The sequence below is a fragment of the Homo sapiens genome, chromosome 18 (genome assembly GCF_000001405.40).
Source record: "Homo sapiens chromosome 18, GRCh38.p14 Primary Assembly".
NCBI classification, from domain to species: Eukaryota; Metazoa; Chordata; class Mammalia; order Primates; family Hominidae; genus Homo; species Homo sapiens.
The window spans coordinates 6,965,445-6,984,576 of record NC_000018.10 but is presented as its reverse complement, the minus strand read 5'-3'; the positions used below and the strand labels follow the sequence as shown (position 1 = coordinate 6,984,576).

Here is a 19,132-nt window from a genome sequence, read left to right as displayed (position 1 = left end):
GCCACCGATGCCTTTGTCCTTTAGCTGCCTTCCCCCCAAAGATTGTGACTTAATGGGTCTGGGGTGTAGGATTTTGTGATTTTTTAAAAACCCTCAGGTGATTCTAATGTGCTGCAAATGTGGGAACCAAAGTTTTAGGTGTTATCAGTGATTTACATAATACTGTGAGTTAATTGGTAAATTTCTTTCTTTAAAATTTGCTATGCGTTATGGGTGACAAGTCTGACCACACTGGGAAAATGTATGTTCTTGTGCATGTTCTGTGGAAGGGGAAAGATGCGTGTCTCCTTATTGGAAAAATGCTGACATAAAAGATTAGTTCACACAACAAAAGCAATTAAAAATCGTATAAGATAGAATATTGCATAAATTATGCGCTAAATTGAGTACTGCTTCCTAATATGTCTTAGGGATCAGTAGTGGAAAATGGCATTAGATACCAGCTCCTCTCTTCTCATCAGTTTTCATCATTTCCCCCAAAGAGAAAAAAATATTCTGACTCCATACCTAGCTAAAACAAAATCTTTATTACTTCGTATGAGTAATAGAAACAATTTGTTGTGATTTAACACAAAGTTAAATAATTATCTTTTATTTATAAATCACAGAATTTTGCCAGTCCAATAGTAACAAACAATAGCTGCTAATATTCGGTCTGGGAATTGCCCGACTCAATAACCTTGGAAAGAAAATGAAGTGAGTTACTCAGCAGGCAAAGATGTGCCCATTGCCAGACTTTATTTTCAAGACAGAGAGCACTGGATGACATTGTGCCATTACCAGTTACCAAGTTCCTAAGCAATGTGCCCACTTGTTAGAATGATGTTAAGCTGATTGAAATATTAGCTGATCTTCCTCCAAAATCTCTAGTGAATTTTGTAAAATTGTCGTATGCCATTAGAGGGATAAGATTCAGCGGCCTCAGGTATGCTTAGAAACACTTCTTGGAGGTTACCAAGTATGTTGCAGGAAGTTTATAACCAATGCAAGCATGCAGTGGCGCCCTAGACACGCGCAGGGGATTGGAACAGAGATTGAGGAATGCTGAGGGCAGCTGGTGGAAAGTGATGAATGGTCGTCTAAGGGAAACAGCAATAGTCTCTTCTTGGGTATTGATTGAATAGCAGTTCTGAGTGTTATGACAAAGTGGCTACGGCTTCTCAAAGATTACTTTTGAAGTTACATGGGAACCCATAGGTTGTTATTTTTTATGGATGATACTCTTCTAAGGGGAAAGAAGATAGGAGGCTTTCAAAACTGGTAGGCATTTATGATTTTTGTGAGTGAATTGGCAAGTTTGATTTAGTTTATCATAACGTATCTAAATATGCTGCTTTGATAGTGGCCTTGAAAACATCAGAAATGTGTCCCTGAATGCCACCAGTGCAGCCTATGTCCATTACAACATCCAGAGCCTGATTGAAGAATCGGAGGAACTGGCCAGAGATGCTCACAGGACTGTGACTGAGACGAGCCTGGTAGGAAACGACGTGGCTTCTTTTTCTGGGCTCTGTGGGAGATTTTTCTGTACCGGGTTTGAGCAGAGATTCAGTGGCCCCAATTTCTGCCTATTAACATTCTTTTCTGGTGGAATCTGTTTCTGGCTTCTGTCATCATATGATCTGTGTTTTAATTTTTTAAGGTCATAAATACTTCTTTATACAGACTAGAAACCAGTGTGGAGATGAGAACAATCTCACATTTCCTTGCGCTAAAAATGATGATGCTACTTGATACCTACTGGAGACATTTTTCTATAACCATGGTGAAAATCTTTATTGAATGGCTGGTTTCCTTCCTTATCTACTTAAAAATGTCTTTGTTTTCTCTTGCCTCAGCCATTTTAAATTGTCCCTACCTGGTACCTGGCTGACTTTCTTGCTGGGAATGTGTCTGGGGGCTACTCTGATGGAGTCACTTCCTCTGTCCCCAGCAGGACTCCACCCTGCCCTGCTCTCACCACGCTTAAGTGGTTCTGTTTTCCAGCTCTCAGAATCCCTTGTTTCTAACGGGAAAGCGGCCGTGCAGCGCAGCTCCAGATTTCTAAAAGAAGGCAACAACCTCAGCAGGAAGCTTCCAGGTCAGTATGTGGCTCGGACGGTGTAGACAGGCAGAGTGAGCGTGAGCGTCTCGCTGAGCAGCCTCTAAGAATGTTCTCCTTGCATGCAGCAACTTGAAGCTTAGCATTTCTGTGTCCCATTTATATTCCAATTTCCTATCATATAAATTTTCCTATCGTATAAACTTCCTATCATATAAACTTCATATAATTTGGCATTTTTATTCTAGTGATATCTGTTCCTTTATTGTGCAGTCATCTCTATCTTTAACCTGTCCATAATCCTCCACTCATTGCCTTAGCTTGGAGCCTTCACTGTTCTTCCTAGTGTCTGTTGGGTTATCTTTGATTGCGTGTGCTCCTCTAGTTTTTCCTTGAGGAGATGTATTATGCTTGATATTTCTTTTACCTTTCTCATGGAACTAATATCATATTAGACTCATGGTAGGTTCTCATTTAATAATCATTAAATTAAATCCTAATTGATTTAGCCATTTTTCAAAAAATACCTATGCAGTTTAGTTTGTCCTAAAGTTTCAAGAAAGAATGACTTGGCATATGTAAGAGCAATCCATCCAATAAACATGAACCAAAGTGGCAGCAGGAATCTGTTATGTAAGAGAAACTACGTAGGCCTACAATTTTTTATAACAAATAATGTGCTTTCCACCTTAATATATTCTAATAGATCAAAAATACCAAGATTTCTGGAGGAGTAAATAGTGGGCCAGGCACACAGCTCATACCCTTTACAGGTGACTTACTTCCGAGTCTAACACTGGATCCTTCCACAGCTGTCTGAACTAAAGGCTTGGATATGTACATAATTTTTTTTTCTCATTGAGTGACACAGTTTAAAATTTATGTTGTCATCTCACAGTATCGAAAATGTATAATGTGTTGATGGGCTGTAATTTCAGTCTGTACAACTAGAGGTACTTCATAGGTAGTGAAATTGGGAGCTTGCTGGCAATTAAAATTTCACGTTTTAACCATGTGCTCAAAATCCAAATGTGATTGTATGTTATGAACAGAAATTTTAAAAGTAAAAGCTGTGATCAAACTTGAGAAGGAGGTTGAGTTGAGTTCCAGTTGGGTGGCCAGAAGGGAATAGTAGGGGATGGAGGATTGGCCAGAGATGCAGGTGGGAGACTGTGAGGAAGACTCCCAGGTAGGAGCCCACCCTAGGGGTTTTACAACCCAGAGGAGAAAGGTGGCCAGGATTCAGATGGGAATAGAAAGTTAGTGTGTCTGATTAAGACTGAGTGACTTAAACACAGCTCTTCATCCTTGAGCTCTAGTAAAATTGGACATGAAATTTAAGTAGAAATATTAGTGAAAAAGTCAACAAGCAAAGTAGAGAAAATGATCGAGCAAGCTAGAAACACATTCTTAATTTCTTTTTTTTTTTTTTTGAGACGGAGTCTCGCTCCGTCGCCCAGGCTGGAGTGCAGTGGCACGATCTCAGCTCACTGCAAGTTCCACCTCCCGGGTTCACGCCATTCTCCTGCCTCAGCCTCCCAAGTAGCTGGGACTACAGGCGCCCACCACCACGTCTGGCTAATGTTTATTTTTATTTTTATTTTTAGTAGAGACGGGGTTTCACTGTGTTAGCCAGGCTGGTCTCAATCTCCTGACCTTGTGATCTGCCTGCCTCGGCCTCCCAAAGTGCTGGGATTACAGGCGTGAGCCATCGCGCCTGGCCCATACTCTTAATTTCTATAATGAGTGGTGCTCAGTCTTGCTGGAAAAACTGTCAATATTGGGAATCTCTTTAGAAAGCTATGAATTCTGTCGATGGTCAAGAATGATAAAGCTGTTGCCTAGGCAACTTTTTTGTAGGCTAACCTGAAAGGAAACATTTTTCTCCCTTTAAATAGGTATTGCATTGGAACTGAGTGAATTGAGAAATAAGACAAACAGATTTCAAGAGAATGCTGTTGAAATTACCAGGCAAACCAATGAATCACTCTTGATACTTAGAGCAATTCCTAAAGGTAAGTGGAAAGGACTTTCTTCTGTAAATAACGTCTTCTCATTGTAAAAGCATCACTCAGGAACATAAGGAAGTCCTGCCTCAAGACTGATAAAGGCTTTAGCTCAAAAATGAGACTAAGATTGGCAAAATTTTTACTTGCAAAGGAATATGATTTAGAAATGAAAATCATTGGTTTTTAAAATAACATCACAATACTTGCATCAAGCTACTAGAATTATAGTCTTAAAAACAGAGACTGCATAGTATCTGAATTGCTTACTTTTGAAATGGGATTGACACATTGCTTAGAGGAAGAAGGACCATTGAAAGAAGTCAGCAAGTAAAGAAGCTGGAATGTGCTTTACCTGCCTAAGGGGAAAATGCCAGATTCATTATCAGTGTGGCGAACTGAAGACTGCTCGCTTGGCCATCTTCCTCAGTGAGGCAGTAAAACATTAGGCTCACTGATCACTTTAATACTGATGGTTTAGAAATGTGGTATTCATGAAATTTTTTGGGGGGGTCTACAGTAATTTTATTGTAACAGAGAAGCCAGGCCGCAATAAGTCTACATGATTAGAGCAGATGGTGGTTCTTTCCAGTGGGTGAAGCCTGAACCCGGCTAGCAGCACACATTTTTTGAGACAGAGTCTCGCTCTGTCGCCCAGGCTGGAGTGCAGTGGCGCGATCTTGGCTCACTGCAAGCTCCGCCCCCCGGGTTCACACCATTCTCCTGCCTCAGCCTCCCGAGTAGCTGGGACTACAGGCGCCCGCCACCGTCCCCGGCTAATTTTTTGTATTTTTAGTAGAGATGGGGTTTCACCGTGTTAGCCAGGATGGTCTCGATCTCCTGACCTCGTGATCCGCCCGCCTTGGCCTCCCAAAGTGTTGGGATTACAGGCGTGAGCCACCGCGCCTGGCCTAAAGTTTTAAATAGGATAATTTTTTTATGTGTAATACAAATGAATCGTGCTGCACCTCAAACTTCTCTTTTGTTCTTTTGTTGTTTTTTACTTTGAAAATTTCAATTGTTTTATAGAGACCGTGTCTTGCTATGTTGCCCAGATTGGCCTTGAACTCTTGGCCTCAAGCGACCCTCTTGCCTTGGTCTCCCAAAGTTCTGGGATTACAAGTGTGAGCCACTGTGCCTGTCCTCCTTTTTTTCTTAATAAGCATCTTTTGAAAAAGTCTTATAAAGTGCTTTAAAGCCATTAAAAACAGGAAGCCCCAAAGTCCTGTTTGTAAGCATGGAAGTTACCTGGGGAAACTGGGCATGCTGCATTGGGCTTACTTCTTACTTTGAAACAATGGAGCATTTTCTGATCCGGAAGATTTTTTTTTTCCTTTTCTTTTTTTATAAGGATGCCATGGTATATTTTGACTAAATGCTTAATAACGTTTTTATTTGAAAATAATTTCGAGCCTACAGAAAAGTTTCAGGAAAAGTAAAAAGGCCACCTGTATACCCTTTTTCCAGCTTTTTCTGCTGTAAATGTTTTGCCCCACTTGTGATTAAATGCTTCGAAAATGAATGATAGTGTCTTTTAAAAATCCTCACCCAGATTTTCTAGAATAACTGAATTCCAATTTACCTTGAGTGGCTGTTTGGGCTTTATTCTGCTGTTACTTCTAGCAGCCAGTTGATGCTATGGGCAAATACCTCTTCCTTTAACTTAAGACATTCCCACCTTAGCTGCAGACCTAGGATCCAAATCCTTATTATCCAGACATGAAAGGAGGTGGAGGACATGTTTCATGAAGCTGAGAAAGGAGTGATGGAAAAGGACCCAAATAAAGAAGTTCAGCTTATTAAGATGTAAGACACAGCTCACACAGCGATTGGCCATTACTTTTGTGATCTCATTGTTTATTGAAATCATATTCCAGAGAAGTATTAACAAAAATTATTTCATTTGTCCCTAAAAGGGGATAGTAGAGCATATGATATGCAGCTTTAATATTGCCATTAGAAACAAGAAGCTCTTAGTTCATTGACCACTGCCCAAAAGAAAAAAAAGCAAACAGACAAGCCTCAGTTTGTGTTCAGCATCAGTAATATGACAATAATATATTTCTGTGCGAAATTACATTTGTTGTCGTTTTATTCTTTTCTCTGTGTGTAAGCACCAGAAGTGCATGCTTTTATATACATTTATTTTAGGTATAAGAGACAAGGGAGCCAAAACCAAAGAGCTGGCCACGTCTGCAAGCCAGAGCGCGGTGAGCACGCTGAGGGACGTGGCGGGGCTGAGCCAGGAGCTGCTGAACACATCTGCCAGCCTGTCCAGGGTCAACACCACATTACGAGAGACACACCAGCTTCTGCAGGACTCCACCATGGCCAGTATGTCAGCGCCCTTCCTTCCAGTCATGATCGTCTGCGTCATGCAGACGTGGAGCTAGCTAAGCACACAGTGGTGCGTTTTTCACAACATTCCTGAAAAGTAGAAGTATGCTAACATCTGGATTAGCCTTTATTAAGAGAAGGACCTTGGGAAATGCATGCTACTTGTGCAGTTTTCATCTTTGTACCACAATGTCATGGCTTTGATTGTTAGGGTGTTGTTTTACCAAGTGCATTGTTAATGGACAATTAATTATCTTGTTTTTCCCTCTCCCCAACTTTCTTGCCACCCCTTGCCTTCTTGTATTTGTTAGCTCTGTTGGCTGGAAGAAAAGTCAAAGACGTGGAAATTCAAGCCAACCTTTTGTTTGATCGGTTGAAGCCTTTGAAGATGTTAGAGGAGAATCTGAGCAGAAACCTATCAGAAATTAAACTGTTGATCAGCCAGGCCCGCAAACAAGCAGCTTCTGTGAGTTTGGGGCCCCGTGGCTTTCGTAACTGGGCTCTCAGTCATGTGGGGTCCCAGGGAATTCATGCAGACATGGCCCTCAGTCACACTGCGCCCCTTAGGGCTTCCAAAGACCCAGATCCCAATAATCTGGGCTTCCTCATAGCCCTGTCTTGGTATATTTAAAGCCAATAACTAGCTTCATTTTCTTTGAGTTCTGCTTTTGTTCAACATGCTTCAAAATGTTGTTAGCAAAGAGATTTCCATGTCTTTATGGAGATTTATCATTATAGACTAAATTTAAAACTATTAGCCTGGACAGTGCGGAACATGTCAAATCTACGTGTTAACATCACTCTTAAGTTTATGGGTTGCATGTGGTGTTAGTTCTTCGTTTTACCAACTTAGTTTTAATAATCCAAGTATTCCTTAAAATGTTTGTGTAGTATGGGCCTCATCCTTGAGGTGTCTGAGAAAACAGTTTGTATGCAACGAAGGCTGCACAAATCCAGGTCACTAAATGCCTGAGGCACTGGACACCTGGAGCAGTTCACACATGAGAAGATGTTTTACCCATGGCACATGGCACTGGCTGTGCCCTAAGGGAAAAAGTTTCCTTTTGAGAGAATGTGCAGTCGTCATGTGATTGGGGACTTCGAGAGGATGAATGCAGCCTCTGGGCTTGCATTTGTCCACCTGAGGCTTTCTAGGGAAGAGAAAGGAGCACAGGGCTCTGTCTTTTCCAAAACCTCAAGTGTCCTTGCTATTGGAAAAGGAATGTTGGTTTCCATGAGCTCTGGCTTGCATCTGTTTCAGTTACAATTGCTAAATAAATACAGGCTGGGCCTGGTAGCTCACACCCGTAACTCCCACAATTTGGGAGGTTGAGGTGGGAGGATTGCTTGAGGCCGGGAGTTTGAGATGAGCTTAGGAAACATAATAAGATCCTGTCTCTACTAAAAAAAATAATAATAATAACCAGGCTTGGTGGTGTGAACCTGTAGTCCCAGCTACTCAGGAGGCTGAGGCAGGAGGATTGCTCAAGCCTAGGAGTTCAAGGCTGCAGTGAGCTATGATCACGCCACTGCACTCCAGCCTGGGCAACAGAGCAAGACCCTAAATAAATAAATAAATAAATAAATAAATAAATAAATAAATATAAGCCCAAGGAATGCTTCTTGATGCTAGGTTAATACCAAACTTAGACTCTTTAATGTAAGATACATATGCAACGAATTACTAGTCAAAGAAATATGTAGTAAGTGCAATAATTGCTCTATAAATATCTGCTGAGTGAATAAATATATTACCTCTCCATTTATTCAACAGATGATTATCAAATACCCTCTTTCTTTGTGTCAGGCGGAAAGATTCCAAGGTGATAAGATCCTTGTCTTTAAGGAATTAAATCTTATATGAGCAAGACAGTTTCCTATATAAAATAACTTATTAAAAACTAACACTGATTTTCTCATATTTAAACACTTAATGAAATCATTTTTGTTACCATCTGATATGTCACTTCATGAAACATGAACCATTGTATGTTATCAAGAGAGGAAACCTGCCTCAGTGAAAATTCATTACAGAATAGCATTGTTGAGCTGCTGGTGAGCTGCCGGTGTGTGTCACTAAATGATGGGGACACTTTCATTTTCCTTCTACAGATTAAAGTCGCCGTGTCTGCAGACAGAGATTGCATCCGGGCCTACCAGCCTCAGATTTCCTCTACCAACTACAATACCTTAACACTAAATGTTAAGACACAGGAACCCGATAATCTTCTCTTCTACCTCGGTAGCAGCACCGCTGTAAGTTATGGACCTTTGGAAAGCGACACTGAATCTTTTATGCACTTCTAGATTTTTCTGAATTTTCACTTATTTGACGAAAAAAAAATAGGCCTTAGTGAAATCTCTAAATCTCCCATAGGGACTAACCTTTGTTAAAATGGTAGCATTAGATGAAAAATGAACAAACTACCAAATGGAATGCCTGTGAGAAGGAAAGTGGCGTTTCTGAAGGATGCCATCTTAATTGTAAGCCTTGGGGATGGAACTTTTTTGTGATTCCCCCGTTGACCCCTGGAGTGACTGAGTAGCAGAATTGTCAAGCTTCTGTCAGGTTTTTCTTGCCAAGGATTCCAGTGGTCTCCAGATGGCAAGTGCCTATGAAAGGTCTTCGATACCTTGGCTGTGCCAGTGAGAACAGGTCAGAAGCCTGGGGTGTGTAGGGCAGAAAATGTTAACGGGCACATATAGTATCTGAAATGTCTTCAGGAGATGAGATGCAAAGTGCATGCAAGTCTGTGACAGGGGTGGGACCTCATGGCTCCTGTCTTACTGCATATTTCACATCCATTTCTTACCTCGGAGACTGGGCAAAGGAGCAAGCTCAGTGCCTTCCCTGGTGCTCCCTGTGGACTGCCTGTGACCTGCAGCGAATTTTCCTGGGGACTCTGTGGGAGACATTGAGGAGGGCCATGCCAGGCACGCAGGGAGGCGCTAATGTCCCCGGGGCTGTGAGTCATGCCCCAGCTCCAGGGAAGGGACCATTTCAAACAAAAGAAAATAGATTTGGGGGGTTTGCTTTTTATGTATTTATTTTTAAGAAAAGAGAAAACCCCGTAAGAATTGACTCTGTAAAGTGTTGTGGTGGTCAGCAAACAGTCCAGTGTGTAAACTGATCCCCGTTCATTCCTCGCCCCCCAGTCTGATTTCCTTGCAGTGGAGATGCGGCGAGGGAGAGTGGCCTTCCTGTGGGACCTGGGCTCCGGGTCCACACGCTTGGAGTTTCCAGACTTTCCCATTGATGACAACAGATGGCACAGTATCCATGTAGCCAGGTAGAAGAGAATGTTCTCTCAAAGCAGCTCTCTTTTTTAAAGTGTGTCTCATAAGTAATTACATGCTTGTAACATCATATAATAGGCTTTGAAACTTCTGGAAAGTCAGATTATAACCAAACAATACTTGGTTTAGGTTAGCTGTAGAAATAAGCATTTGTGGCCAGTGGCTCACACCTGTAATCCCAGCACTTTCGGAGGCCAAGGCAGGCGGATCACCTGAGGTCAGGAGTTCGAGACCAGCCTGGTGAAACCCCATCTCTACTAAAAATACAAAAATTAGCTGGGCGTGGTGGTGGGTGCCTGTAATCCCAGCTACTCAAGAGACTGAGGCAGGAGAATTGCTTGAACCCAGGAGGTGGAGGTTGCAGTGAGTGGAGGTCGTACCACTGCACTCCAGCCTGGGCAACAGAGCGAGACTCCCATCTCAAAAAAAAAAAAAAAAAAGAAAAGAAATAAGCATTTGTTACAAGTGACAGAACTTCTTTTTTAAGGCTGAATAATAGTATTCCATTGTGTATTTGTGTATAAAACCACATTTTCTTTATCCATTCACACATTGATGGTTAATCATTCCACATCATATCCAAAAATCATAACAACATTTTGCACCTCAGAAGTATATACAACTATAATTTGACAATATATAATAAAAATTAATTCAAAAAATTTTTTTAAAAACTTAAGGTTTGGATTTTTTTCTTACTGCAGGAGAAACAAACTTTGATACCAAAATCAACAATCAGAAGAAGAAAAAACTGAAAAGCTTAGGTTACCTTTAGAATGTCTAAAATGTCTAAAAGTTTAGGTTACCTTTGGAGACCAGGCATGGTGGCTCACTCCTGTAATCCCAGTGCTTTGGGAGGCCGAGGTGGGAGGATTGTTTGAGCAAGAAGGAGTTTGAGGTTAGCCTGGGCAACATAGTGAGACTCTGTCTCTAAAAAAAAGTTAAAAATTTATCCAAGCACAGTGGTGTGTGCCTGTAGTCCTAGCCACTCGGGAGGTTCAGGCAGGGAATCACTGGAGCACAGGAGGTCAAGGCTGCAGTGAGCAATGATCACACCACTGCGTTCCAGTCTGGGCGACAGAGCAAGACCCTGCCTCTAATAAAGTTAAAAAGTAAAGAATGTTACTTTTAGAAAGTCTACGTGTAAGGCAGCCAACCTGGTAAAATTCCTCAGGAGAGAGGTGTAAGGTGTGGCATGGTAGACATTGCATGTGGCTGGCAGCACATTGCACTTAAGTCAAGGACAGAAAATAAGGATGCAAGTGGGGGGTGCATTTTCTTAAAATTCAGGCACAAAGCAAAATTCTTCTTTTTAAAATCCTTCAGAGGTAATCACTTTTGAGCAGCTTTAAGTGTATGTTTTCACTTTTCTATAATATTATGGTTTGTTGGGATTTTTTTAATTTACAAAATGGGATAATATTTACGGAGTAGACATATCTTCAGATACAGTTTAGCTCATCTCAGATGTTTTAAGCAGGGACACAACATGATGAAATTTCTGTTTCGGAAGAGACACTCTTGAAGATTTCGGGCAGTAGGCAAGACTGGAAGCCAGGAGGCCAGCAGGGGGGTGCTGTTGCAGGGCCCTTGGGGAGAAGCAGATGGTGGGTGTGAAGGAAACGGGATTGTATGTGCGCTGACTGGAAATTCTGAAAATTTCTTTTGCAATTCTTTGTAACCCTTAGATTTGGAAACATTGGTTCACTGAGTGTAAAGGAAATGAGCTCAAATCAAAAGTCACCAACAAAAACAAGTAAATCCCCTGGGACAGCTAATGTTCTGGATGTAAACAATTCAACACTCATGTTTGTTGGAGGTCTTGGAGGACAAATCAAGGTAACATTACGAAAGTTCTTCTGAACAGGACTGATTGACTGATTTTACCTATATATAAAAGTCATGGGCCGGGCGTGGTGGCTCACGCCTGTAATCCCAGAACTTTGGGAGGCCAAGGTGGGCAGATCACCTGAGGTCCGGAGTTCAAGACCAGCCTGACCAACATGGAGAAACTCTTGTCTCTACTAAAAATACAAAATTAGCCGGGTGTGGTGGCACATGCCTGTAATCCCAGCTACTCAGGGGGCTGAGGCAGGAGAATCACTTGAACCCTGGGAGGTGGAGGTTGCAGTGAGCTGAGATCGCGCCATTGCACTCCAGCCTGGGCAACAGGAGCAAAACTCCATCTCAAAAAAATAAAAAAATAAAAGCATATGTTTAGATGGTTGAATATATCCTAAGCAGATGAAGATGTTTCTGCTTTTGTTTTGCTTTCTGACAGTTCCTCTGCAGAGTTAGGCTGGTTTTGTACAGTAAAGGGTGATGCTTCATCAGTAGCATAAATGGAGAAAAAGCCAATGGCTCATCTTGCTGTTTGGGTTTCTTTCCCAGTGATGAACAGGAAATTCAGTGCTCCACGTTAATTTCTGTAAAGTTTCTTTATCTCTAGTCTAGCTCTAGTTAGTGGTCAATTAATACTAATCAGTGTTTAGCAAAAAAGCCCACCATATTTATTTTATTATATCAGTTCTCCTCTCACCAAATATAATTGTGTTTTTTGGATCTGGTTCAATGCTCTGAAGTGGGAGTCTAGGTCTCAGGTCCAGCTGGGCCCTCACTACCAATCACATTCTCTGGCTCTCTGTTTTCTCACTCGTACAACACGATTCTCTCCATCAACCCTAGTCACTGAGATGATCTTTAAGATCCTGCCCAGTTGTTACTCATTCTAGGATTCCACTTCATAACTGAAAGGAAATCCAGTGATTACAAACTGGCTTTTTTCTAATGTGGCTCTCTCAAAATTTGGATCTGTTAGATTGAAGCTCCCAGAGAGAAGTTTTGTGCACTTGGAGAATGTATTTTGCTTGGTCAGCTTATATATTGGTTATGTTTGTTTGCTTGTTTGCATTAGAAATCTCCTGCTGTGAAGGTTACTCATTTTAAAGGCTGCTTGGGGGAGGCCTTCCTGAATGGAAAATCCATAGGCCTATGGAACTATATTGAAAGGGAAGGCAAGTGCCGTGGGTGCTTCGGAAGGTAAGATGTCGTCACGGTTTAGCACATAGTATGTTATTCTGTTAACATCTGAGAAGTGCTGAAAGAATGTATTAATACATGCACGTCAAGGAATAGAGTTTGTGATATCGCTGGTAGGTGTTTAGCTGCCAATTACAAAGCCATGCTTTTTCATACGTTTATTGTCAAAAAAAAATCCTGTGACATTGGTATAATGTAGATTATACCAATCTACATTATATTATTATATTATATTGTCAGATGATATAATGTAGATTAGTTACTGAGAGAAGCACAGGTATCATTTTTAACCCTTTAAAAAGAAGTGCTCTTTTTCCTATGTCTTTTATGCTTTGATCATGGATCATAAACCCTAAACGTTTCAGACAATTTCTCAAACAACCTTCTGTCTCAGAGAGCCACAACCAAATCTTTATAAATCACTGTACATTTTTATTTTGAAAATATCTCCAAGGATAAGAATTTTTTCACGTGTGGTCAGTTTTTACAGCTAAGTACTTTCCAATTCCGAACCAAGTTCTATAATTCCAGAAATAAAATGCATTAGGAAATAGAGAAAAATGAGTATGTTTCTGCATATATTGATATAAAGGCATTCAATGACTTAACCTTACCAAGTGCAACATCTTCCCCCCCAACCCATTATTTTATAACAAAATAACTGCAACTCCTTAAGTATATAAAACCTGTTTTCCATCACTTTAGTAATTAAGACATAAATTGCTTTTTTCCGTTAGAGAAATGTAACATCTGATATAATTTCTCTTGTCTAATGGGCTGCTCTGTCCAGATGGATATCTGCAATTATCCAGTGACAAGATCAGTTAAAGCAACTCACAGCACATTTAGAAACTCACGGGTGAATTTTTCATTTTGTCATTGTCAGGTCTGTAGTTTAAGCCTTCTCTTTTCCCCTTCCTTCGCTTGTTTAAAAAGTTAGGACCAGGCGGTCATGGTGGCTCACGCCTGTAATCCCAGCACTTTGGGAGGCCGAGGCGGGCGGATCACCTGAGGTTAGGAGTTCGATACCAGCCTGATCAATATGGTGAAACTCCGTCTCTATTAAAAATACAAAAATTATCTGGGCATGGTGGCACATGCATGTAGTCCCAGCTACTCAGGAGGCTGAGACAGGAGAATTGCTTGAACCCGGGAGGCAGAGCCAAGATCATGCCACTGCACTCCAGCATGGGTGACAGAGCGAAACTCCATCTCAAAAAAAAAAAAAAGTTAGGACCAGAGGTTTGGTGATTGTAGCCTTAAGATTGAAAAAGAATATAGGGTTTGGAGTCTTGAGTTTCTCAGGCTTCTGGCCCAGGTCCCCCACCAAAATTTTCTTCCCTGACTTTGGATAATAAGTCTCTTCACCTCACTGAGGTTTGGTTTCTTTTTCCAGAAAAGAAAAATGATCATCGTTCTTGTCTTACCCACCTCTATAAATCACAGTGATGAACACACAACATGATGCGTGTGAAAATGCTTTATAAACTGGAAACACTTTACCAGTCTTCACCACTGGTCTCCTACAGTGATGTGGCTTTGCTTTGTAGATAAATGTCACAGGATTTTTTTTTGACAATAAACGTGTGAAAAAGCATGGCTTTGTAATTGGCAGCTATGATAAAAAATGCTGTTGCCTCGTGAGGTAATGACACACCCTGCTCTGGAACTTCAGTGGAAAGAGCATCTGAATTCAGGCTCTCTGATCCGCCACTTTTTCCTTATTCTGTGTTTCCAGCAAGGAACTCTTCCAGCAATTTAGTAATTCTAACATGAAAAACACCCCGACCCCTAGACTCTATCCCCTCCACTGACCCCAGATCATTAACCTCACTGTTAGAAAGAAAAATGGTTAACAGAAATTAAACATTTCTAGTATGAAAAAGTCCCCCTACTTTACCTGTGACCATATCCTCTATTTTCATCAGTCATTTCCAGAGGTATTTTGAAATCATTGACGTCAAGCTACAGCACTGAATGAATTGAATGATTTCCGGCTCTTCTTTTTTTGTTGGGATGAGGAAGTCAGCTTTTTAGGTGGTCACATGTTTTGTTCCCCTTGAAATACCTGGCCTGCCTCCGGATTTCCACACACCCTGGACCTTTGGGTCAAAGATGCTGCCCTCCTGCCAACTCGAGACTGGCTTTTTGACGGAGGGCTGGCCACCCAGCTGAGTAGTAGAACCACATTGACTCATCAGCTCAACCAAACTAGGGTCTGATTAAATATGTTTTTCTGGGGACTGAACAAATCCACTGTTATATTGGCCAACATTTCCAAAAATACGTGTTTGTAAAGAATGCTAGTTTGGTGTAGGGTATTAATAGGTATTGTGTACTGATCATAAATGTTTGGGAAACACTGAGTTAAAAAAATAAGCATGTTTCTTGGCTGCGAGGCCATCGGAGCCTTTAATTAGCATTAATATGCTGACATGCATGGTAACCCTGTCCTGGGGAGAGGCTAGAGTTGCAGCATTTCCCAAACTCACTTGAGCTTGAACCCTTTCTGAAAAGGTACCTCTGGGTGAGGGTCACGCCTGTAATCCCAGCACTTTGGGAGGCCAAGGCAGGTGGATTGAAAAAGATTAGCCAGGCATGGTGGCGTGCGCCTGTAGTCCCAGCTACTCCGGAGGCTGAGGTAGGAGGAGCACTTGAGCCCCTGCACTTCTGCCTGGGTGACAGAGTGAGATCCTGTCTCAAAAAAAAAAAAGTGCATCTGGAGTTGCATCTGCCTCGTAAAACATATTTTGTGAAGTGCTGATATAGGCACAGACTGGCACTTTACGTCTGTTTGTAAATTGATTGAACCGTCTTCATTTTAGGTAACATCCCCCACTGCACCCCTTCTCCTGTTAGACAAGAACTTTAGTTCAAAGAGTTAATACCCTAATTCTAGTAACAATCCATTTTAGCAGACTTAGATTATAATTCCTTGTCCCTTTCTGTTTGTGTATAATTTGCCATTATTAAATCATTAGTGTAGCCCATCGATGTCCTCTAAATTTTTAAAAAATTTTTGACTGTTTACTCTTAAACGTGATTTATATTACCAAGTAAATGAATTGAAACTTTTTTATTCCTCCTTGAATATATTATTACACTTGTACATGGGGTCACTCTGTAATTATGAGCAGTCTGTTATATTCTCAAAGGATGCTGCAGAATTAACCACTGATTCTAACAGTCCTCATCAAAATCAATATGGAAAGACCCTTTATTTAATTAACAGGCATAATCCTTGTATTATTTACGAGTGGACATTGTGAGAGAGTGCTGGCTACGTGGCTGGCCTTTGACACGAGTCAGTCACCTGCGTTCCGGGCCCTCTGCTAGGTACCGGCCATGTCCACATACATCACACATTTATGTCCTCAGACATCTCATGGCGTAGGGGAAAATGCCTGTATAGAAAGCAGAAAATGCATGGGCTGTGGCAAGGGGCCAGAGTTGGAGAAGCAGCATCCCAAGCCCGGGCCAGGGTTATCTCATGCCCTCGCATGACGGCAGCAGGGCATGCTAGTAGGTCAGCTCCGGATTATCCACATCTCATGAGGGAGCCCTCGGAGAATCAGGGAGGTCTGGTGATTCTTCCAGACTCACGGGGCTGAGCGCTGGGGAGGGCGGACGCTCTCCTAATTCCAGGCTCCCACTTGAACCTGCGGGTGATGGTGGCATTTCCAAGGCTGGAACAGAGCTGTCCACAAAGTGCTGTGATGAACCGAGCTTTCATTTGTCCTGGGCCCTTACCAAGGCAGAGACCCACTTGGGGAACAGGCACCTGGGCCGACTGTTGAGGCACATGTGCCTCTGGTCATAGTCTGGAAACTGGCAGGGGCTCTGGGAGAAGTTCAGGGAAGTGACTGACATGGGGACAAGCCTTCGGTCATGTTCAGTCATCATTTCATTTGAGGTCCCCCTCTTCGTGGCCACCTCACTCCAGCAGGCCCTGTTTGGGGAGAGAACCCAGTAGCAGAGCCCCCGCGTTCTTGAGAGAGGAGGGCTCACAGGCTCTGGGAAGGGAGAAAGCCCCCATGTTTTTGGGAGAGGAGGGCTCACGGGCTCTGGAGAGGGAAGGGCCATGCACTGAGGACCAAGACAAATTTCTGGAGTTTTGTTTGAAACCTGGCTTTGTGATTTCTTGGGGTGTGTCCTTGAACAAGGTACTTTAATCTTTGAGGCTCAGCTTTTCATAGGCAGAAATGAAGACCGGCCCATCGAGGACCTCCGAACACTGCAGAATAATGAGAGAAAACATCTGTTGTGTGCCAGGCACTGTTCTAAGAACTGCCTGGGGCAGCCCTCCCAGAGAGGTTTTATGGTTATCCCTGTTTTATAGCTGAAGGAAAGGGCACACAGAGAGGTTAGGTGAGTTTTCCAAGTTCACACAGCTAGTATGTTGGGGACCTGGGATTTGAACCCTAGTAGTCTAGCTCTAGAGTCTCTATCCTCCGGCACATGCACTGTGGTTGGCCAAGAGGTAGAACAATGGAACATATGGCTAGGAAGCCACAGGCTTAAGAATTAAAGAATTAAACCATAGTTGAAGAATTTATCTAGAGTGCATTTCTTTTAAGTTATAATTCCTCAAAGAGACCACATGATGGAAATTTTTGAAAAAGCAAGAGTGCAGGTAGTTATAGTTATACATTTGAAACCTCAGGTTTCACAAAGCACTATTTTTTGTTTTGTTTTCTTTTATCATCCATGGAAACGATTTTACTGTTTGGTTAGACTGCCTTGCTTGGAAATGTGGCACTGAGTTTTGTTGTTACACCTCTAACTGGGAACAGTTCAAATTCTTACCCAAAAACTATCCTCATCCAAGTTTCACTCTCAAGCCTCATGATATTCCAGAAAATTATTTTTGGAACATAATTATGATCTGTTCCAGATGAATGGCTTTGCGATTGAATAGTGAGTCAAGTCAGCCTTTTGCTCTGTTGGGGGAGAAGACCAGAAAACACACTCACCTGAAAATGCCCTGGGCCGTATTATATCCCTGTTTCAACCTACGTACTCATCTCTAAGTATGATATGGGTCTTTAAGCTCATCCTGCAGATTTTTGAGGATGTCAGTGATGATTGTTTTGTGAAGTGATGCTTCTGGTATATGGGCACATACTTGCTTTCCATCATAACTCTAGTTTCCCTAAGGTATTAGATAAAACCTCATCAGCAAAGTGAAAATGTCAATATAAAAATTATTCTGAAGGCACCAGAGTTAAGAGAGGACAGTTATATTAAAGGAGATTAGAATAAATAAATCCAGTTGATAAACTGAAATATTTATAGCAGTTATCCTCCTGTAAAGAAATGTATTTTTACCACAATGAATACTGCCTACATTAACATTATTTTCCTTATAAAGCAGCTGGGCATTTGTCTTGCATCTTCACATGGCAAGCATATTTTTAAATATTATCATCTACACTTGTTATGAAAGTATGGAACTAATAGCTCTACAGTGATCTTTGTGAAGGAGAACTCAGTAAGTGTGTTCTTGGTTCTTTCTACCCTCCTGAGAATGGATTCTATTTCATCTCTTCTGCTTTGCAGCTCCCAGAATGAAGACCCTTCCTTCCATTTTGACGGGAGTGGGTACTCTGTCGTGGAGAAGTCACTTCCGGCTACCGTGACCCAGATAATCATGCTTTTTAATACCTTTTCACCTAATGGACTTCTTCTCTACCTGGGTTCATACGGCACAGTAAGAGTGTTTGTGCGGCCCTAGGCCCTACTGTATACACACATTTAGATTGCTATGTGGTTGTTTATGTTTAATGAGGATTTACTAATTAAATATGTACATATGTATACCATACAATTTTTATGAGCATATGCTAGTATTAATATATGTGTGTGCTAAACAATTTCCTCATTTTAAATTATTTATTATCATTGTAGAACCTTTAGAAAAATATAGAAGAACACCAAGTAGAAACTAGCCTTCTAGTCTTTATAGATATCAATTCAACATTTGTTATTAAATTTCGAGCTCAAATAATATGTCTTGTTCTGGGTTCACTGTGACCACCGTGACATTGTTTGAATTCCATCCATGGGAATTTCATGTTCTTGTTTGCATCTCATGGGCTGGTGATTTCTGTCTTTCAGTCTTTTGGTTTTATTTTTTAGAACGGGCCCCTTGTCAGTCTCAATGAAAAAGATACGAGGAGATTCCACTTCTCTTACTGAATTGTGGATTTTGGTAACAACAGATGACATTTCATTTATATTAGTGTAGTGTTCTAGAAAGCCTTCGTGGGCATTTTTGGTTTCGTAGCCGATAGACCTCTGGCTGTGGGGCCAGATCCAGTTTTCTCAGTTTGACTTTAGAAGGTTTCAGCCATCCCTGACTTGAAGGGAAAGGGAAACCTGGGATAAAGCTATAACCTGGGGAACTGTGTTC

General features: G+C 41.6%; 1 protein-coding gene across 1 annotated transcript in view; it reads left to right on the top strand.

The window, feature by feature from the left end:
- Nucleotides 1-19,132, top strand: part of LAMA1 (laminin subunit alpha 1) — a 176,056-nt gene that overhangs the window by 133,221 nt on the left and 23,703 nt on the right. Inside the window, exons 40-49 of the mRNA NM_005559.4 lie at nt 1,343-1,478; nt 1,987-2,080; nt 3,940-4,056; nt 6,199-6,381; nt 6,696-6,850; nt 8,497-8,640; nt 9,541-9,674; nt 11,370-11,520; nt 12,596-12,720; nt 18,280-18,430. Of these exons, the coding sequence (NP_005550.2) occupies nt 1,343-1,478; nt 1,987-2,080; nt 3,940-4,056; nt 6,199-6,381; nt 6,696-6,850; nt 8,497-8,640; nt 9,541-9,674; nt 11,370-11,520; nt 12,596-12,720; nt 18,280-18,430 (1,390 nt within the window). The remainder of the gene's footprint in view (nt 1-1,342; nt 1,479-1,986; nt 2,081-3,939; nt 4,057-6,198; nt 6,382-6,695; nt 6,851-8,496; nt 8,641-9,540; nt 9,675-11,369; nt 11,521-12,595; nt 12,721-18,279; nt 18,431-19,132) is intronic.